General features: G+C 40.6%; 1 protein-coding gene across 21 annotated transcripts in view; it reads left to right on the top strand.

Annotated features, from left to right (window-relative positions):
* Positions 1–23,491, top strand: part of ME3 (malic enzyme 3) — a 237,687-nt gene that overhangs the window by 39,641 nt on the left and 174,555 nt on the right. The gene's annotated exons all lie outside the window — the stretch shown is intronic.

Raw genomic sequence — 23,491 nt, 5'->3', positions numbered from 1 at the left:
GAGTGACTAAGTGCTGCCATCCAGCTGTGGTGGCTGACTCATGCATGAGGACTGAAGGATGTGGATTCTGAAAGCCCTTCCTCACCGTTGTGTTTCCTGTCCATATAGCCCTGCCCCAGGGCCTGGGGCTCCCATGGAGGACCAGTGCCCAGGAGAGATTCGTGTGACTGCAGAGCACCTGGGTTGCCCTGAAGGAAACCACTGGCCTTCAGTATCACTCACTGCACCTGGGCCCACCCAAGGTCTCTGGAGTGCAGTTCTGCCCCTGTGGCCTCCTCTGTCCCCTCCTTCACAGCGCAGGCTGTCACACATGTGGCAGGTTCTCCAACATATGGCCAGAGAATCAGTGTATGCAGTACTGGAGGGGCCTGAGGATGATGTCCAGGGCCATTCCTCATTTTGCAGACATAGAGACTAATGTCTGAGGGAGGCAGGGTCTTCAGCAATACAGTCAGGACTAGAATCCTGAGGACTAATTCCCAAGTCCATGTTCTTTTCAGGAAACCCTGCTAAAGTAAAAGAATACAACTTCTTGGCTGTAGTGTGAGGAACAGGCAGAAGCAGGCACAGGGAAGCGAGTCCAAGATACCTGGCTTACAGAGCCTGCTCTACCCCACCCCCCTTGGCCATTTTGTCTCCCTTCTTCACTCCCCTATTTAGGCTCTCGGATCAGGCAGTTCCCCACTACTTCCCCACAAACTGTGAGGCCCCTGTGAAGCTGCTCTCCCAGAGGCCCTCTGCTCAGGCTGCACTCTCTTGCACCCAGCAGCCCTTGAACACATCACTTTTGGAAGTATCCAGTCCACACCACTATGCTGTTGGAGTCAGGCAGGTCAGAGTTGGAATCACAGAAACTATGTGGCCATGGACAAGGTACTTAGCCTCTTTAAGCCTCAGTTTCTTCATCTGTGGTCTTCTTCATATAGGTAAAATAAAATAATTTGGCTGGGCATGGTGGCTCACACCTGTAATCCCAGCCCTTTGGGAGGCTGAGGCAGGAGGATCACCTGAGGTCAGGAGTTCGAGACCAGCCTGGCCAACATGATGAAACCCTCTCTCTCCTAAAAATACAAAAATTAGCCGGTCATGATGGTGGGTGCCTGTAATCCCTCCTATTCAGGAGGCTGAGGCAGGAGAATTGCTTGAACCCGAGAGGCGGAGGTTGCAGTGAGTTGAAATTGTGCCACTACACTCCAGCCTGGATGACAAGAATAAAACTCTATCTCAAAATAATTTATAACTATCAGAACAGTGCCTGGCAGCCCGTAGGCTTCCAATGTGCCATGCCTGTTATTATTATTGCCTGTTATTTTTAAAGCTTCACTCAAATTGTCTTTATTATGCCCATGGTTCCAGATGCATCAGAATTACCTGAGGATTTTTATAAACAAGACAGTCTGATCTATTAGGTCTGAGAAGGAGCTAAGGAATTTTTTTTTTAAGTTCACCAAGGAGATTCTGATATGCGTTTGGATTTGGGAACCACTAAACCCCTTCATTGCCCACGGTTTTCTTATGAGTTTGGCACTAGTTCTCTCACATTCTTGTCACTGCCTATAAGTTACAGGCAGTTTTGCAGGTGGACTGACCTTAGATTTGGAAGATCCCAACTTAGATCTGTAACTTTTCTATCCCTCCTAATGAGCTACATCTCACCAAGACATTAATGTGCAGAGAAGGGGGAGGCAGGAGAGCACAGGGACTGTGACCACTGGGCTTCAGAATTGGAAATCCCTGTGTTCAGTCCAAGTTTTGGAACTCACTGGCTGTAGCTCTTCAGGCCAAGCTCCATGACCACTATTTTGTAACTGCTTGTTAAGAGGGATTTTGTTCAACCTAACATCTGCAATTCGGTACATAGCATCCTTCCCCTAATCCAGCAGTTCCTCCAACCTCCTGTTTCCCAGGGCCTCAGGCCCCAGACCTGGGCTCATCTGTGACTCGGTTGGTCCTCCCATCCTAGTCCTCCCCCATTTATGTCCTTCCTGCCATCCCTGCCGCCTCCATCGGAAATGAGACTTCCACAAACACCATCTAACCACCTGCCCTCCCTCACCCTGCTCCTTTCCAGGTTTCCTCAGGGGCTCCTGATTAGCTGTGGCTCCCTTTCAAACTTTCACTGCCTCCCCACTGCCTGCATACTCTGTGTGGCACTGCACAGGCACTGGCCTCAGCCCTTGAAAGTCCTGACTCGGGTTTCTAATGTTCTACTCACACTTAGTAACATGGTCATTCAATAATAACAACAGCTTCTGAGGAGACGCTGGGTGTTGGTATTCCGAGAAGATGCCAAAGAGTGTGTTGTCTCCAGGCCACAGGCCTGATTTGATCAAATCTGCTTCATCCTTTTGATTTCTCTTGGCATTTGGACTTGTTTGAGGCAAACACTGCAGGAGGTTTGGTTTTTACCTAAAATTATAATGTTGCTTTTGGGCTTGGAAGCTTGCGTGTAAAGCACTTGTGGCTGTTTAAACTCTGCAGCAAAGAAAAGGCCAGGAACACATTCCCGGTGCTCTGTTTCATGGAAACCCAGAGACAGCACAATCCATAACATCATGAAGGATACAGGAGAGGCTCTGGAGACCAAACCCACTCAGGTGTCCAGCTCAGGCCCCCAGATATGTCACTGGAGTTGGAGCCTGCCAAGTCCAGCTGCATTTGGAAAATACTTCAACCAAGCGCTGTCAGTCAGGGCCTCATGACCAGAAATCCATGCTTCTGCTGCTTGCTTTTTCCCTTTATTGATAACAGAGGTAACTCAAACCTTTAGCTCATATGTTATTAGCATGACCTTGAACTCTCTTCTTCAAAAGAACATTTTTGGGGGGATACACTGTATGTAAAATAGATCAAAACAACAAAAGGTTCATCAGGGGATGATGATCTCTATTCAATAGGGGATGTAGATCTCTATTATTGGTGGCAAGTAAATCACTGCAGAACCTCTGAAGTTCCTCCAGGTCTAGAGTTCTGAAACAAGTGCTTGTGTAGGCATTATTCAGACTCAGTTTCCTCTTCTGCATGCTTCATACCACCTCATTGTCATGGTGCAGGTATAGCAGAATTAAACCTCAACAGTGCACATTTAGACTGTTATTTACATCCAATTTCAATCACAAGTTCTCAGCCATCTAAGCTGCTAGTGAGGTGCCTGGCAGCAGCGGGTGGGTAGTAGTAAGCCCAGCTAGCAGGGTAAGTTCTGTAAGCTGCCTCATTAGATAAGAATGGCTGCTTTGCTCAAAGCCTCAAATACTCCTGGCTTGTGTCCTCAGGACTACTCTTGAACTCTGGAAACAAACAATGGGACACCAAGACACAGAAGATACCCAAGACAGTAAGAGCTGACTTTAATATTGGAGGACAGTGTAGACTGGCTGATATGTTTTCTCTGAGAGTAAAACTTCAAGTAGTTTTATCTTCATACAGTGTCTCAGGCTCCAAGTGATGAAGGGAGTTGTAACCAGTATAAGTATACTAGTTCCTGGTGGGAGGAAATGTGTCCTTTACCCACGGGGGAGGGGGAGGGTCTAAACCAAAACACATTTAGTTAACCTCCTTTCTTCAGCAAAAGAGATTGTTTCTCTGTTTTTAAGAACGGGTTTTTTAAGTTAAGGGCTTCTTTAAGAAAACAAATAAATGAGTACGAGCCCTGCATCTTTCTCTCGAAATGTGTTTTGAAACCTCACAGACAAAGCCATGCCTCTGGGAATAGTCCAGCTGCTCTGAATGTTATGACGAAGGAATACAAGTTCAGGGACATGAACTCGAGATGCTAGACATTCTCATGACCTGGTGAGAAAGATAGCAGGGCTCCAGTTTCCAGGCCTGGGTTTTCTTTCCCCAAAAGACAAACCATCAGTCAGACCCATTGAATTCACTGTATCACCAGTTAGGTTTTGCAGGAACAAGGGGCACGCATGTAGCTCCCAGGCCTCTCTTTGCAGACCCTGTTTAATTGGAATTGTTAATGCAAGACTGTGAGGAAGAAGAGCGGACTGGTTCTATGCTTTGGGAGAATCAGATGACAAGCACAGCACTTTCTTTATCTTTGATTTTTCCATCCCTTGCTTGTCAATACTAGATTTAGACGTTTCTCTCCATGTAACGTTTCTCCTTCCTCATAGACTTTTCTGTAATGAGGACTATAAAACTGAGGCTCACAGGCCCCATAATTGAGTCAAGGCCTACCCAGTGCAGGAGTTGCAACTGCGGTCTGCATGAATCTAAAGTCTGTATTTCCATTTTCTGACGTGGTTACCTAACCCATTACCTAGAAAGGAGCTGAGTTCCTAGGCAGGTGAACAGAAACATTAAGGGCTTCCAGGTAAGACTGATGTCTAGATCAGAAAATAGACCTTAGTATCAAATAGTCTATGAGGACAGAGCCACTGTAGGACACTGATTCTCAGCTTTGACTGCACTTTACAGTCATTTGAGAAATTTAAAAAAATACTAATGACTGTCTCACCTCCAGAGATTCTGAACAAATCGGTCTAGATTATGGCCTAGGCGTCAGAATTTTTAAAAGCTCCCCAAGTAACACGAATATGCAGCCAAAACTAAGAACAACTGCTTAGGAAAGACAGAAATAGCATCTTAGAAGGGGAAGCTGGAGCTGTTTAAATATCTGCTGCCCCAGGACCAGGGCCCAGAACAGGCTCCAGTGGCTCCCGAAGTATTGGGAGGAGGCTGGAGATGGCGGCAGGCAAGGGAGCTCAGCCAAGGCTGGCAGCCACACACCACACTGACTGTTATTCACAGAGCGAGCCAAAGGATTGACTCCTACATACTGGCATGTAATTATTTTATGAACTTAAATCTTAACTCTCCAGATAGATTATAAGTTCTCTCAGTTTGAGATGCCAGCACCCAAAAGATGTCTACCATCTTCCCCATTGAATCATCTGCACCAGAGGGCAGGACCTGTTGCTGTTCTTTGCTGTCTCTCAGGCTGCGTAGCACAGTACCGCACACATGGTGACTGGACATGGAGGGTGGGGGGACTTTAGCTGGAAGCATAGACATCCTGGAAAGGGTGATATTTTCATCTTAATTGATTCCAGAAGCCATTCTGCTTTCTCATCTGAAACTGGGAATTGCTTATGCGTGGTGTTAACTGAAGCCACCCTTTCCTTGCAAGCCCATAGGCCTCTTGCCCCACATTCAGCTTCCTGTGCTTTTTCTTTGGTACAAGTATGAAGGCTTCTGCTGGACATTAAATCTGCTAGTGAGATGGCCTTGGCAGAGGAGCCTTAAGGATATTCACTGGGTCCTGAGGGTTATGATTTTGAGGTTGATACTGAATCCTTCAGAGTAAGGAGAGTGGGCAGACTTCACAAATCAGCAGAAAAGCTGCCAAGACTGTGCTTGCCAATTGGTTGTGTACATGATTCTCAGAATCTTGGTAATTTTATTGTGTGTCTGATTGAAAAATTATATTCACAGTCTTGGGCAAAACAAGAATAAAGAAATAATACACTTAATATTTGTATGCATATGGGTAGAAAGACTTTCACTATTTGAAAAAGCCAACTTTGAAAAGCCAAAGTTGAAAACCATAAAGGGCAAGCAAATTTGGTTGCAATTTTGTCGGAAATCCAGCAACAGTCCTTATACCCATGGTACAGAAAGGAGATAAAAATGAGAAATTGAGATTTGTTAAGCATCTATTAGATTTATACAAGTTGTTTTCTAAATGTTAGATCATTTAATCCTTGCCACACTCTATTTTACCCATAAAGGTATTTTCAAAATACAAATAGGGGCCTATAACCCAACTTTCCAGAGCTTTCAGAATAGAAAACCAAATCTCTAACATTGTCTCCAACATCTTGCATGGGCTGGCCCCATACTGCCTGTGTTCTGTCTGCTCTGACCACAGCAGTTCTTAAGTGAGCCTTGTTTCCTTCTACTGCAGGGCATTTATACACCTACTTTCCTCTTTTGGAAAACCCTTCTCCCTCTCTCCACCTCTAAATTCTCCTGTCATCCTTTACCTACTTAGTTCCAACTCTTCCTTCGGATCCCAAGGAAAATATACCAGTTAGGGTCTAGGCAGGAGACAAAAACCACACCATTTATTTGAAACAGAGGGGATATAATATAATGAATGATTAAATAAGTGCAAAGTTGTTGGCTAGGTGACAGAAGAAAAAAGAAAACTCTAAGCTGGGATTGGCAAACTGTGGCCCATGTGCCAAATTCAGTTCATGGCCTATTTGTATGACTGGTGAGCTAAGAATGGTTTTTACCTTTATAAAGCTTGTTAGAAAGAAAATGCAACAAAGTTTTTATGTGGCCCACCAAGTTTGAAATATTTACTATCTGGCCCTTTACAGAAAATGTTTGACAGTCTCTGCTCTAAGGTATCACAGGGGTAGCAACTCTAGGAAGTACCTACCACCTTTAGGTCTACAGGAACAAAAGTTGGAATTATTAAAAGGCAGAAAATTAGAGACGAGGCCAAGAGGTCTGAGACCCAGACTTCTGAGGAGAGGGTGCCAACTGGCTGGTGAAGGTGTCTATGAGACGGGGTGCAATGAGGCTGGTTTTACAAATAGCAGAAAAACTGTTCACTACACTGAGCTGTTGCCACAGGAGGGAACTGCTGCTGCCCAGGTGAAGAAGCATTCCCTGGGTGCCACTCACAGGTAGAGGATGCCACAGAAATCGCTCAGGAAGTAGACAGAAAGGAGCCAGTTTCTTCTTTCTCTTCCAGGCTTTTGTTCTCTCACTATTGTACTCTCTTGGCAGAGCCAAGCATAAAGGCAGTTTGCAATGTGGTTTACAGGGTTCCAGCCCCAACATTGCAACACAGACAATAGAGGAGTAGGTTTGGAGAAATGAGACAATAATTTAATAACTGGCACAGGAAGCCTTCTCTGAACTTCGTGATGTAGTCAGTCCCCTCTGTCATATCTATATTGCACTGTGTATCTTTTCTCCATATCATTTACTATAATTAGTGAAAATATGGATGAATACTTATATAGCACTATGTACCAGCACAATTCTAAGCAGTTTTCAAGATTTAATCCCACAAAAACCCTGTGGAGGTATATACTCATATTATCCCCATTTTACAGGTAACGATACAGAGACACAGAGAGGGAAATACCTACTTACTCAAAGTTACACTCAGCTAGAAAGCAGAAGAACCAGACCTTGAACTCAGACAATCTTGTTTCAGGGTCTGTACTATTAATACTATACTACAGAGCCTCTTAATTTCAGTTTTACATTAATTTGTGAATTCTGACTCAATGTCTGTGTGTCTCATCAGGCTGGCTTCATGACAGCAGTGACGGGGTTTCTTTCTGCTGATCCCCTGTGCCTGGCACAAGGTCTGACACTTAGAAGGCTCTGGATAAATATTTATTGCATGGTTGAATACATGGAGAAGGAATCTGAGTCACAGAAAGGTTTAGCCAACAGTTACCTGTAAGAGCTGGGATTCAAACCCAGGTCTCTTTGACTCCAGAGCCCATATTCTCCCCAGTCATGAGCTGGCAGGCGAGTGCTTTCCAGCTGGTGATATGGGAGGTTCCTGATTATGTAATTGAGGCACTGCAAATTCATCATTGTTCCTGTATTTTGAACAAATGTTGATGTTCCTTGGGGTCTTTGAGTTATCTAGGATGTATGATCAGCTACGCGTCTTCATTCTTAGATCTTGCTGCGTGGAAACAATCCCTGTACTCTGTAACTATGGTCACCAAACTCAGGGTGCTGGATCTTCTACCCAAGCTTTCTCGGACATACTTTGTTAACGATAGTTACTGTCTGGTGAGGAGTTTGGCAATGGGGGTAAGAACACTTCTATTTTGTATTCTATATACTGTTTAAGTAATTGGTTATTTTATAATGAGAATACTAAAGAAAAATATTTAATTAAAAGTACTGAAAACAGAAGTGTTTCTTCTAGCAAATTTGAACATGACTAAATGGTATTCTGTTACTTCAGGACAATGTCCTTTCTCCTAAGCATGTCATTTGCCAACTCCTCTCTACCTCTCTGGTCTCATCTCTCTACACATAGTCCAAATACTTGCAGGGCTCCACATGCTACATTTTCTCTTTTCTCTGTGGCTTTTGCAATACTGTTCTTCTCCAAGTAAAGTCAATGTCCTGACAATGGTACATGAGACCCTCTGTGATCTGGTCCTTAGAGCAGTCCACTTGCCCTTTCTCTCCCGCTATCTGATGCCAGAGGAGAAGTTTGGAGGAATCAGATGGAAATAACAGAGAAAAGCCGAAGAATGGTATGTTTAACAAACATTTATTCATTCAGTTTACCTATTAACCAGCTAATAAAATCGAATCACTCAATGTAATCAGCTAAGTTTTCCACATAGGCTATTTTTAAAGCAACAAAATCAATCTTACGCAATTTTCTGTGACCAGTTATCTCAGATGTTCCTATAATTAGTAGCCACTCCAGAAACTCTGCATGAGGTATGGCCTTGGGCAGTAATCTGGTTGAGTGGGGCATTGGGAATAAGGAGAATAGAGGAGTGTTCTCAAACCTATATTTATATGGTAAACATATTGTTTTTATTGGATTCTGTTTATTGGCTTGGAGGGGATTTGTCAGAGAATCCACAAATTTCACAGCAACTGCTAATGAAACTAAATGCTAAATCTCTGCTGGTTTAAACAAAAACAAATGTATCTAGATTAAGAGAAATAGGGAATAGGAGGTTATAGGGGTATCTGACAAGAGCCAGTTAGTGGAATTCAGGCAGGCTCAGGGGAATACTGAACTAGGGGCTGAGAAGCCCTCTGAATCGTCCAGCTTCTTTCTTTTGGCCAATAAGCCAGCTTCAACTTCCCAACATTGTGGGGAACATGGCTGCCCCACAGCTCCCAAAGTTTATATTAAACTTCCGACCTCAAAGAGGTATAAAATCCTGGTCTCAAAAATAAACTATAAGAGAAAGAATGGATTGGTCCAGCTTGAGTTAGGTGGATACTCCTGGTTTAGTCAGCAGCTAGAGGGAAGGGGTCACGTTGTACGTCAAGCCTGCTGGAGAGGGAGTGGGCATATGTGTGTGGGCAGGCAGGGAGGTGTGATTTTGATCTGGGCAGACATTTCAGAAGACATCTACTCTATTAAGAAAAGGCATTCATAATCTCCAGAGGGGAAAAGTATGTTCCACAACACACCTGGGCACACAGAGAACATTTCATTATTGCTTGCTACCGAACTGGAAAGACCCTCAGAGGTAACTGTGAAATACTGGTTGACTGAGCCATGGATTAAGTTGTTATTTCTATAACATTGCTATTTCTATAACAATGCCTTGGTTACTTGACTCTCGACTGTCTGGCAGCCTTAAACAGTATGAAGCCAAAAATAATAGCAACAACTTACATAACACCTTAATATACTACACCCTGTTCTAAGCACTTTTACTTTCATTAACTCATTTAAATTAATCTTCATAACAATCATGTTAGCGTTCTCCAAAGAAACAAAACCAACAGGACATATACAGATATGTAAGAGGAGATTTATTATAGGAATTTGCTCAGGCAATTACAGAAGCCAGAAAGAATGCAAAACATACCATCTGCAAGTTGGAGCACCAGGTAAGCCAGTGGTGTGATGCAGTCTGAGTTCAAAGGCCTGAGAATGAGGAGAGCCAGGGTATAAGTCCCAGAGTCTGAAGACCCAAGAACCAGGAGCTCTGATATCCAAGGGCAGGAGAAGATGGATGTCCTGGCTCAAGAGGAGAGTGACAATGCACCCTTCCTCTGCCTTTTTGTTCTATTTGGGTGAGCCCTCAGTGGATTGGATGATACCAGATGAGACGACGCAGATCTTCTTGACTCATTCTACTGATTCAAATGCTAATCTCTTCCAGATACACCCTCATAGACACTCAGAAATAATGTTTTACCTGCTGTCTCGGTATTCTCTGACTCAGTCAAGTTGGCACATAAAACTAACCATCACAAATAGATATTATTTCCATTTTACAGGCGTGTTAACTGAGACACAGAAGTGATGTCATTTACACAAGGTCATTCTCCCAATAAGAGGTGGAGGTAGGGTTTGAATCCAGGTAGTCCGCCTTCAGGGTCCATGCTCTTAACAGTGCAGGAAACAAGCTTCCAGGGGGAGTGGTTGGGAATAGGTGAAAACTTCAAAGACAAAGCTTCGAAGACAATCTTGATGGATGAACTCACCAAATAAAAGGAACTCTTTCATCAGCCAACGATGGCAGCCAGAGTCAGGAATAAGAGAAGCTGCACCAAAAAGTGGGAGAAGAAACAAGAAAACATCAAAAAATATACACAGGAGAAAGAGACCCATAGACAGAAGAGGTGGTACAAAGAACAGTGTGAAGTGGGAAAACCAGGGAACACAACTTTCAGGAAGAAACGAGATATTGTCTCAGTGTTTTTCAGTTGTGGTCCACAGACCTTCTGAGCTCTTGATAAAAATATAGTTGCTGAGGCCTCACCTTTGACTGAATCAGTAATCTATCAGATCTACCAGAAAGCCACCTGTTCTAACAGACACTATTAGGTATTCTCATCTCAAGAGAGCACTGAGTGAGCAGCAAACAACTTTTTTTTTTTTAATGCCCTCCCACAATCCCTGTAGATATATCACTGGATATGGCAGTGTCTGTAGTATGTAATGCATTTTTAAATGACTCCCATTGATAGGGAGGCGTAAAATGAGAACCCACATGCAGAGCTTTTGTTTTAGCTCTGGCACAACCTATCCATGTGACTATTGGCAGACAATTTCTCTGCAGTCTAAGATTTTACTGCTGTCAAGGTTGTAGGTTAGACTGGATCCATGAAAGGTATCTGGAACGCATCCTTCCACACATATTCTTCCACAAGTCCTGCACCACCTACATTCTCACCTGGCCATGGCAAACATCATTAATCAATCATGACACTCCTCGCTGAGGCCTGATGAGGCTACCCAATACAATATTTAACATAGAGCCCTAGGCGCCCATTAACAATGCTGGAAGTTGAAACTTTCCTGTTATCTCTGGACTAGAGATAATCCATAAAGCTCCTGTAAGCTCTAAAAATAACTCTCTTAAAGGAAAAAGTAATTTCACATTCTGCTTTACAGGGTTCATTTTCATTTATATAAAAGTGCATTTAACACATTGTTTTATATTTTGATTTATTTCAAATCTCCTCAGACCTTCCCTCTCCCCATTATTCCAACCTCGATTGTAATTATGATTTGAATGTTATTTCTCCTGAAAGCCCACTAGATCTTTATTATCAAATTATGCTGAAGTTAGACTAACTTTGCCTTAAACTTATATTTTAAGTCAGCTTGAATTTGAATACAACCCTATTCACAAAAACAAGTTCAAAGTTGAAGCATTTGTAGGAAAGAAAGAGAAAGGAAGGAAAGAAAAAGAATGGAAGGAGAGAAAGAAAAGAAAGACTCCTGATTTAACTTTAGAAAAAAAACTTTCTGAAGTGATGGAACCAGTCCTGGCCTGATGATTACTCAAGAGACATTCTCAGGCCAATTGTAAATAATTCAAAGTTCTGCATTTTTGTTTAAGAATTCTGAGAATCATGCTAACAAATTAGCCAAGACTGAGGAGCAAAAAAGTTTAAAAACTATGATGTAGCTGACCTTAATTATTCTTAAATCCCATGAATTCTATGCCAATAAAAACAATGTTTTCTTACTGGCCTTAGGCCTGGATTGAAATTGTTGAAAATAGTGACTTTTCTCCTCTTATTACCTCAAAGAACATTGTGTCAGGATAGGAAATAAATATTTCAAGTTGGCAAACAGTTTTCCCAAAGCAATTCTAGCAAAATTTGGAGATGGCAGGAATAGGTGGGTTTTAATTTTCTGATCTGGACTCAAAACTGAAACATTTTGGTCTGGACACTTTATTGTGAGGCCTGGAAGAGTTCCCTCGACATCATTTGTCCCTTGGATCCCAACCCAGACCTTACTTTGGTGGAGGCCCGGTCAGGAACCTGGGCTGTATTGTATTACTTAACCAACCACAAGCATGAGAAACCTCATGCTCTGCTGGGAAAATGCACCAAGACAAGTGGGCCTAGGTCAGATGGATCTGATTTTTTAAAAACCTCAGGAAACTGGACTGAGGCCCTAGAGGACAGAGAGATTGGCTGAATTAGCAAAATGTCTGAATTTTAAAATATTTGATCAAAAAAAGATGTATGATATTAAGGCACACAAGTAGCTGAAATTAACTCCTCAAAGTGGGCTACCTGGTAGAGGTGCCTGTATCTTCTTGAAGGCATAAAGGTATCCCCTTTGTAAGCTGCAGAACAAATGTGCAAATGAATGTGAGATAAACTCCCTTTAATGATTGTTCCCTTACATGTGATTGACATTTTCTCTGTGACCATATAGCATAGTGCTGCAGTTTTAATCCAAAGATCTGATTTCACATACTAACTCCAAAGCCCCTTGCATATCACTCTTATTTTTAGATGTCATCCTAACAAGTTGATTCTCTGGGTTCCCAGTATACAACATATTAGAAAAGAGTAGACCCTAAAAGGAGGCAATGTGACAACAGCTAGCAGTGATCACTGATGTCTTTTCAATAAGAGAAGAAATAGAAAACTTTAAAAGCAAGCTGGGAAAATTAAAAGATTACATGTCTGAGACCATTTCATGAAGGCAAATTGCCCAAAGGACTTCACCCACCCGAAATGATATATAGTTATTTAGTTAAGAATAATTATTATAGTCATTGATAAGATTGTTTCATATTCATTAACTCTGTTTAAGAAAATAGGGATATATGTCATACACTTCAGTTTAAAAAAACGTTTTTTGAACATCTAGTACGTGCCAGGCACTGTGCTAAGTGTAGAGATTTAAGGGAAAATAGGATTTGTGTTTGTAGTCTAGAATATGAAACAGATAATGTAACTTTTTATTATTTATTTTTGTGTAAAAAATACTGACATGTTAGCACTTAACAGGGTAAGATAACTACACTGGAAAATTTACTTGTATGGAAGAGCTTATTCCCTGGAAAAATGGTTTGTGGCTGTGAATTATTGTGAATCCCATAGTTGGAAGAACATTAATCAGCTGATCAGGCTCACACTTAAGGGATGAATTTGCTGCCCTAATTAATGTATAATATTTAATCCAAGCCCTTCCTTATTTCCACTTCTAAAAGGTATCATGTTGACAACTGTATTAGTCTGTTTTCATGTACCTGATAAAGACATACCCCAGACGAGGTAATTTATAAAGAAAAGGAGGCTTAATGGACTCACAGTTCCACGTGGCTGGGGAAGTCTCACAGTCATGGCAGAAGGTAGAAGCACGTCTTACATGGCAGAGGACAAGAAAGAATGAGAACCAAGCAAAAGGGGTTTCCCCTTATAAAACCATCAGATCTCATGAGACTTATTCACCACCACTAGAACAGTATGGGGGAAACCCCTCCTGTGATTCAATTATCTCCCACCAGGTGCCTCCCACAACATGTGGGAATTATGGGAGCTACAATTCAAGATGAGATTTGGGTGGGGACACAGCCAAACCATTATCAACAAGTAAGATCAAATTTGGCAGCCAGAAGAAAACTGAAGTTAATTAGTACCATATTTTTAACCCTCAATTTAATACTTTATTATACGATTTCAGTATTCTATAATTTCTCACATTAATAGTATTTTTCACCAACAAGATTGCATATTTAACTTTAGAAACTTTATTAGGCTGTTCTTGCACTGCTATAAAGAAATACCTGAGACTGGGTAATTTATGAGAAAAGAGGTTTAATTGGCTCATGGTTCTGTAAGCTGTACAGGAAGCATAGTGCTGACATCTGCTTCTGGGGAGGCCTCAGGGAGCTTTTACTCATGGTGGAAGGCAAAGTGGGAGCTTACACATAACATGGCATAAGCAAGAGCAATGGCGGGTTGGGGGGAAGAAGGTGCCACACACTTAGAAATGACCAGATCTTGGCCAGGCACGGTGGCTTATGCCTGTAATCCCAGCACTTCGGGAGGCCAAGGCGGGTGGATCACGAGGTCAGGAGTTTGAGACGAGCCTGACCAAAGTGGTGAAACCCCCGTCTACTAAAAATACAAAAATTAGCTAGGTGTGGTGGCATGTGCCTGTAATCCCAGCTACTCGGGAGGTAGGATAATCGCTTGAACCCAGGAGGTGGAGGTTGCAGTGAGCCGAGATCACGCCATTGCACTCCAGCCTGGGTGACAGAGTGAGACTCCGTCTCAAAAAAAAAAAAAAAAGACCAGATCTCATGAGAACTCATTTACTATCATGAGGACAGCACCAAACCATGAGGGATCTGCCCCCATAAGCTAAACACCTGGCACCAGGCCCCACCTCCAACATTGAGGATTGCAGTTCAACATGAGATTTGGGCAGGGACAAATATCCAAATTATATCAGAAACAATTGTGACCAGCTTCAAGGCTGTGTATGTTTAGATTTAGACTTAGCTAATATTTCTTCATTGCTTCCTAAATGTGACCTCTGTGGAAGGCGTTTTTCACAGACATTATCTCATTTAATCCTTGTATTAGCTCTATAAGAATTTTTGATGTGAATATTACCACAATTTTTGGAGTAAGAAAACTGAAGCTAGGTGATTTATGTTAGGTAGTTTATGATCCTACTTTTTTTTTTTTTTTTTTTTTTTTTTTTTTGAGACAGAGCCTTGCTCTGTCGCCCAGGCAGGGGTGCAGTGGCGCAATCTCAGCTCACTGCAGCCTCCACCTCCCAGGCTCAGGTTATTCTCTCACCTCAGCCTCCCAAGTAGCTGGGGTTATAGGTGCGTGCCACCATGCCCAGCAAATTTTTTGTATTTTTAGTACAGATGGGGTTTTGCTATGTTGCCCAGGCTGGTCTGGAACTCCTGGACTCAGGCAATCTGCCCAACTTGGCCTCCCAGAGCGATGGCATGAGCCACTGTGCCCAGCCATGATCCTACATCTTGTGAATTTGAACTCAGGTCCTAGACTCCAGGTCCGATATTGAATAATGGTTTCTGGCCATGCTCATTTATAGTCTTTGACTGCAGTTTAATGTCATCTCAGAATATTTTTTAGATTTTTGGATTATTTATTTTTCCTTTGTCATTTAGACCCTAACTTGTAGATCAGGTTTCACATCTGTGCTGCAGTTTAGCACCCAAAAAAGAAATTTTATATATGAAAGAGCCAAAGTATATTTTTCTTTATCCTTTGGTTATTTTTCCTTTCCTCTTCACATAGCTTGTGGTTAAATTATTTTCCTTAGACTTTCATACTAAAATAATTTGCCTTTGGGTAGAGGCCAAGCACAGACCATTTTCAATTCTCTACAAGATTGTTTTTCTAAGCAGCTCAAATGAAAAAATTCCCATGTCTTACAATGGGCATTTGTAAGTTGGTTATTTTGGGCAATCAGTGCTAAAATGTAGAGTCTCTTCAAAATCTTGAATCTTCTCAGTACACCTACCTTTAGGAAATGACCTAAAATAACTACATAGAAAACAATAGCAATGACCCCAAAGCCCACATCAGTTATCATTTCCAGATTCATGCAACAGTTTGTCTTCTTTATATTGAGTTTAACTTTTAAACGAGACTTAGTTACCTTAGAGGAAACTAAGAATTGGAAAGAAGAACCTTCAAACTAAACAAAATAAACATATGGCTTACATTTGTTGAGTGCTTACCTTGTGCCAGGAATAATGCTCAGTGCTTTAACTGCATTATTATTTTCAAAACCTACAATCCCCTGTAGTAGGTAATTTTTTATGTATATACTAGATGAACTAAAGCTCAAGGAAATAATTTGTCCAAGGCCACTCAGCAGTAATAAATGCCAGACCCAGAACTGAAAACCAAATCATACTGGCTCCAGATCGCTTGTTCTTCATCTTTAAAAAAAAAAAAAAAAAAAAAAAAAAAAAAAAACTACTATCTTGGAGTATTTTAGATGTACAGAAAAGTTGCAAAGGTAGTACAAGAGTTCATGTATACCCCTTACCCAGTTTTCCCACATTGTTAACATTTCCATGGTTTTATCATTTAACATTTATCAAAACTAAGAAATTAATATTGGTACATGACTATGAACTAAACTCCAGACTTTCTTTGGATTTCACCAGTTTTTCTATTGGTGCCTCTTTTCTGTTCTAGGATCCAATCCAAGGTACCACATTACATTTGGCTGCCATGTCTCCTCATCCCCTCTGGGTTATGACAGTGTCTCAATCTTTCCTTATTTTTCATGACCTTGACAGTCCTAAAGGGCACTGGCTAGGTATCTTGTAGAATGTCCCCCAACTAGGTTTATATGATGTTTTCCTCATTATTAGACTGAAGTTATGAGTTTTTCAAAGGACTATCACAGAGGTAGAATTCTTATTCTTAACCACTTTCTGATGCTGTGTGACTTTCAGATGTGCTTGTACTGTTAGTGGGCAGGGTAATTCTATTTGTCATTCTACCAAAGAATGAACTATAGTATTGATATGATTTGGAAAAAAAATAGTTCATTTAAGAAGAATTTAAAATCCCACAATGACTTGCTTATTTCCATATAGACAGTTAACAGTTTAAGAATTAACATCAGCACTGAGAATTTCCTAATAAAGTGATGTTTCAGGTGAAGAGAAATTCCAGTATTTTCATGTTGAAAATATGTCCAAGAGAAGTAAACCTAAATATCATAAAAGTTTTATTCATAAAATCTCTTTACAATTATTTATGATAATGAAACATTTAGAAAATAGCACAAATGCCTAACAAAGGAATAGTTAAGTAAATTATGGCATATCCCTTATCACGGTGTATTACACAAACTTTTAAAAAGATATTTACCAAAATGGGTCATAATGCAGACAATATTTACTGGAAAAGCAGGATATAACATTGCTTTTTGTTTATAGTCACAACTAACAATATATGTACTGTCTTAAAGTGACAAGAACATATACCAAAATGTCAATAGTGGTTGTGCTTTGGTGGTGAGACTATAAGTTTTACTTCCTTCTGCTTATCCATGCATTCTATGCAATTAGGATGTTTATGAGTTTTTTTAATTGTTATTGGTGGTTTTTAATCTTTTCAAAGAAGTATGCTCTGAAATCACTACAAGAATATTTTGTGACTTTAAGAAGTTGTTATGCAAGAAAATCCTTGAGAGCAAGAGCCATGACTTAGGTTTCACTCTGTCCCCCAGCCCCAACCCCTAAGCCATAGCACCCTCAAGGTCAGAGTGCTGAGATTCTGAGTATGGGAAGTTGAGAAGAGGAAGGAGGTGCTTCACTGCTACTTACCTCACACCACCACCAACACCCCCATGTGTATGGGGTAAATAGTAATGAAGTACTTCCTCAATAGCTTTCTGAAAGCAAGGTGCAGACTCAGACAGAGGTGAACTCTTATTAGCTCTGTGATCTTGATAAGTCATCCCACCTTGAGGCCTGTATTTCTACCTTGATCAAGATGCAGTATAAAGATGTGGTTAAGTGGAGTGTTACTACCTGATGTTGAGTCTTGGACAGGTAACTTAATTCTCTGTTTCTCCATTTCTTCATCCATAAAATGGGAATAATACTAGAATGTACTTTATGAGAATTGGGGGAGGACAAAATAAGTTAATGTATGTAAAGTGCCATTCATGATTGAATAGTTAATCCTTACTTACCAGAAGTTTCAGAATCCTGTACTAGATGATTTCTTGGGTAACCTCCAACTCAAAAATTCCATAATTCCAATTATCCAGAGGCTACAGCTTCTCAAATTGTGGCCTTGAAAAAATATGTGTAGGGTCCGGATGTGGCTAGAAGCTCACTAAGATTTGTACCGATGGAAGAATAGTTCATAAATTCCTGTTTTGATTTCTGAAAGTAAAAAAAAATGTCCAAAAGGACCTCAAGCCAAAGGCTATAGCTCTTGGTTTTTCATACTCCGTGATATTTTTTAAAAAAACGATTTGGTTCCGCCAGAATGTGTGTATTCTTATGGCCAAAAACCCTAAAAGTCGTCTCATGGCCACATCTGACATGGTTTAGTATTTAGTACATTTTATCAAAAAGCTCATTAATGTATTGGAAGTGGTAAGTGGTATGGAGCTGGGAGTACCAAGCTCTTAATATGCAATACAATGTGAAAAATAATACCAGTATCAGAGAAGTGGCTGGACCTCTTTATAGGCTAGAGAGATATAGAGAAGATATTGAAAAGCTTAATTTCCACAACACTTAACTCAGGGAAGTGTTTGGCAAATCAAGTGAATATTTGAGGTTTGAGGACTTAGCTTTGAGAGACTATGAAAAAAAATCCATAGGCACCTGGTTGGTGCCTGTTGCTAAAAAGCTGAGAAGACAAGGAATTGAGGTCGAAGATAAGGCACCACCCTGGGAATTTGGAGACCTGGGTCCCTCAGAGAAGGTTATGCCTGCTTTGAGAAGGGGTTGGTGTCTGTTTGATCCATTGAGAGCCCAGACAGAAAGGAAAACAGGTCCTCAGTCTGCTCAGATGGAGCAAAGAGGGGTTCTGGACTCACAGCAAAGGCAAAATCCATCCTGTGTATTTTGGGTTTAAGTTAACTCCAAATCAGATCAATTCAAGAGTGGACGTTTTAACTGGCTGAAATGAGTTTATAATTTCTACATAAGTGGTGAAAATACAATCTTAAAGTGCTTTGCAGTCTCCAGTGTTGTAATAGTCTTTGGAATCAGCCAGACATGAGTTTGAATGCCAGCTCCACAGTCTGTTAGCTGAGGCAATAAGTGACTGGGGCAAATCATTTAAGCTCTGTCTTCTCCAGTTCTTTCTTAGAGGTCCTGGGAAGATGATGTGAGATTCTGATTCAAAGTGCTGAGCAAATGTCTGTTTTGGTACCAGTACCATGCTGTTTTGGTTGCTGTAGCCTTGTAGTATAGTTTAAAGTCAGGTAGGGTGATGTCACCAGCTTTGTTCTTTTTGCTTAGGATTGTCTTGACTATACAGGCTCTCTGTTGGTTCCATATGAAATTTAAAGTAGATTTTTTTCTAATTCTAGGAAGAATATCAATGGTAGTTTGATGGGTATAGCATTGAATCCATGAATTACTTTAGGCAGTATGACCATTTTCACGATATTGATTCTTCCTACCCATGAGGATGGAACGTTTGTCCATTTGTTTGTATCCTCTCTTATTTCCTTGAGCAGTGGTTTGTAGTTCTCCTTGAAAAGGTCCTTCACATCCCTTGTTAGCTGTATTCCTAGGTATTTTATTCTCTTTGTAGCAATGGTGACTGGGAGTTCATTCATGATTTGGCTCTCTGCTGTCTATTGTTGGTGTAAAGAAATGGTTGTGATTTTTGCACATTGATTTTGTATCCTGAGACTTTGCTGAAGTTGCTTATAAGTTTAAGGAGTTTTGGGGCGGAGATGATGGGGTTTTCTAAATATAAAATCATGTCATCTGCAGATAGAGACAATTTGACTTCCTCTCTTCTTATTTGAATATGCTTTATTTCTTTCTCTTGCCTGATGCCCTGGTCGGAACTTCCAATACTATGTTGAAAAGTAGTGGTGAGAGAGGGCATCCTTGTCTTGTACCAGTTTTCAAAGGGAATGCTTCCAACTTTTGCCCATTCAGTATGATATTGGCTGTGGGTTTGTCATAAATAGCTCTTATTATTTTGAGATATGTTCCATCAATACCTAGTTTATTGAGAGTTTTTAACATAAAGGGACACATAGATCAATGGAACAGAACAGAGACTTCAGAAATAACACCACACATCTACAACCATCTGATCTTCGACAAACCTGAAAAAATAAGCAATGGGGAAAGGGTCTCCTATTTAGTAAACGGTGCTGGGAAAACTGGCTAGCCATATGCAGAAAACTGAAACTGGACCCCTTCCTTTCACCTTACAAAAATTAACTCAAGATGGAGTAAAGACTTAAATGTAAAACCCAAAACCATAAAAACCCTAGAAGAAAATCTAGACAATACCATTCAGGACATAAGCATGGGCAAAGACTTCATGACTAAAACACCAAAAGCAATTGCAACATAAGCTAAAATTGACAAATGGGATCTAATTAAACTAAAGAGCTTCTGCACAGCAAAAGAAACTAGCATCAGAGTGAACAGGCAATCTACAGAATGGGAGAAGATTTTTGCAATCTATCCATCTGACAAAGGTCTAATATCCAGAATTTACAAGGAATTTAAACAAATTTACAAGAAAAAAACAACCACATCAAAAAGTGGGCAAAGGATATGAACAGACACTTCTCAAAAGAAGACATTTACATGGCCAACAATCATATGAAAAAAAGCTAAACATCACTGATCATCAGAGAAATGTAAATCAAAACCACAATGAGATACCATCTCGCACCAGTCAGAATGGCAATTATTAAAAAGTCTGGAAACAATAGATGGTTGTGAGGCTGTGGAGAAATAGGAAGACTTTTACACTGTTGGTGGGGATGTAAATTAGTTCAACCATTGTGGAAGACAGTATGGCGGTTCCTCAAGGATCTAGAACCAGAAATACCATTTGACCCAGCAATCCCATTACTGGATATATACCCAAAGGAATATAAATCATTCTCCTATAAAGACACATGCACACATATGTTTATTACAGCACTATTTACAATAGCAAAGACATAGAACCAACCCAAATGGTCATCAATGATAGACTGGATAAAGAAAATGTGGTACATACACACTATGGAATACTATGTGGCTATAAAAAGGAATGAGATCATGTCCTTTGCAGGGACGTGGATGAAGCTGGAAGCTATCATCCTCAGCAAACTAACACAGGAACAGAAAACCAAACACCACATGTTCTCACTCATAAGTGGGAGTTGAAAAATTAGAACACATGGATACAGAGAGGAAAAACACACACCAGGTCCTGTTGGGGGTTGGGGGGCAAGGGAAGGTAACTTAGAGGATGGGTCAATAGGTGCAGCAAACCACCATGGCACATGTCTACCTATGTAACAAACCTGCATGTTCTGCACATGTATCTCATTCTTTTTAGAAGAAATAAAAATTAAAAATAAAAAAAGAGTAAACCAAAGTGCTGAGCATAGAACTAGGCACATAATGCATATCCAATAAATGGTTGATATTGGTGTATTGTCTTTGTTCCTCTCAGCAACTTTTTCAGATGGTAGCTATTAATACCCCCATTTTACAGATGAGAAAACTGAGGTTTAGAGTGGCTGAGTAGATTGCCTAAGATCAAACATCTAGACCCATAGTAAGAGCCAACAATCAAGGCCCTGTTTTCAGACTTAACTTCTAGAGTCTTCCCATTGCATGATAAGGAAAAGCCCTCCTTTGAATACAGCACTAATCAGATATTCATTTTTCTTCCCCCCCCCCCCACTTTATTGAGTTATATTTGACAAATAGAAATTGTATATATTTAAGATGTACAATGTGATGATTTGATATATATAATATATATACATACATTGTGAGATGATGACCACAATCACGCGAATTAACATATCTATCACCTCACATAGTTACCCACCTTTTTTTGTGTTGAGAACACTTAAGATCTACTCTCTTAGAAAATTTCAAGTATACAATTCTTATTAACTATAGTCACCATACTGTACATTAGATCTTCAGAACTTACTCACCTTTTTTTCTCTTTTTGTTTACAAGTGTCTGCTGTAAGGAGAGGCTTTATTCATAATTAAAAATTTATACCCTTTGACCAACATCTCCCCATTTCCCCACACCCCGGGCCCTGGCAACCACAATTCTATTTTCTGTTATGAGTTCAACTTGTTTATATTCCTCAAGTAACTGAGATCATGCAGCATTTGTCTTTCTATGTCTGGTTTATTTCACTTAACTTAATGTCCTCCAGGTTCATCCATGTTTTGGCAAATGGCAAGATTTCTCTCACTCTTTAGGGCTAAATAATATTCACATATATATGAGGTTGAGACCCAAATTCAGAACGCTGTCTAGGAAGTCAGGTTGGCTTGAAGTGATATCTGGAGTTTGAGACTGTCCAGACCCCAGTGCTACAGCTGCCTGACAACTGGATTGTCTGCCATCGTCCACTGTGCCTGGCTTTTCTGGCCAACAGTTGGTGCTGTTTTGTTCAGCAAAACACTTATCACCTATTTGTTGTCAGCCAGTCACTGACTGGGTCTTGAGTTGCAACAAGTCCTCATTGTTTCTCCCAAAGCTCAAAAGCAAATACTCTGTCAGTTATTGTTCATGCTTGTGAGCACAGACCCTGCCCCCCCGCCACCCCCTATTGCAGCAATCTGCCTTTGAGTAGAAGACAAGAGCCACCCCCCAACCCCACAGCCCAAAAGAGAACTACAGGGTGCCAATAGATTCATGCATGCACAGCCACCCTGAGCAGCAAGGGATGTGAGTCGCTCAGGCTGGGCTTCCCAGGGGCCTTGGAATGGAAAGTGGAATCTCCTGCTGCTGCACCTTCTACCTTTGTGCACGGCATCACTCCCATGGCATATGCACTGATTTCCACATTTGCTAAATTTTTAGCACTATCCTCCCCATAATATCTAGGCTCAACTTAAATGCCCCTTTCTCCATGAAATATCAGGAGTAATGGTTCTTTCCTTTGAGGTCTCAAGGTATTTAGTTTCTGCTTGCAGATCACTTTATTATAAAGTATTTCAGACACAGGAAAAAATATAACGATAATATGAAAAATATCCATATACCAATCATCTAGTTTTTTAAATGAAACATTATAAATACATCTGCTGCCCCCTCTATTCATCTCTCTGGTCATGTTCCTTTCATCACCCCTAATGTAATCACTGTCATAAATTTGGTGTTTAATGATTCCCTTGCATGTTTTTACACTTCTACTACACATGGAGGCATTCTTAAAGTATAGCCTTTTGGCATATGTTTAAACATGTTAGACATTATATGAAATGTATGTAGCCTTCCTCAACTTCCTGACTTCTAGGATGGGTCTGATGATAGTTTATACCCTTGAAGGGTTGTGAGGACTAAATGGGTTAACAAATGCAGAGCGCATAAAGAAATGCCTGGTGCATAATGTGTTGAGTAAGTGTTAGCTATTATTATCATTATATTTATATATAATTTTGCTTACTGTGTTTCTAGAGTTATCCATTTTATACATTTGGTTTTAGACCATTTATTTAGCATTCCATCACATCAGTAAACTGAAACTTACTTCTCCATGCCTATGTCGAAGAACATTTAAGTTGTTCCCAATTTTTTGCTATTACAATTTTGTAATCAATATTCTTGTACATGTCTTTGTAAACATGGGCAAGTTTTCTGGCTTAAGAGTGCAGCATTGCTGATATATATTCTTCAGTATGTTTTAACTCACTTCTGACTAGTATACTAGGGTTTGGTTAGGGGTGTGTGTGTGTGCATGCATACATATATGCACACTTATGATTCATAGCAGATTGTAAGCTCCTTGAAGACAGGCCTAATTCAATCATTCACTGATTCATTTAGCAAAT

Source organism: Homo sapiens, chromosome 11, assembly GCF_000001405.40.
Source record: "Homo sapiens chromosome 11, GRCh38.p14 Primary Assembly".
NCBI lineage: Eukaryota > Metazoa > Chordata > Mammalia > Primates > Hominidae > Homo > Homo sapiens.
Note: the sequence above shows the minus strand (reverse complement) of the source record. Positions and strands in the feature narration are given on the sequence as shown.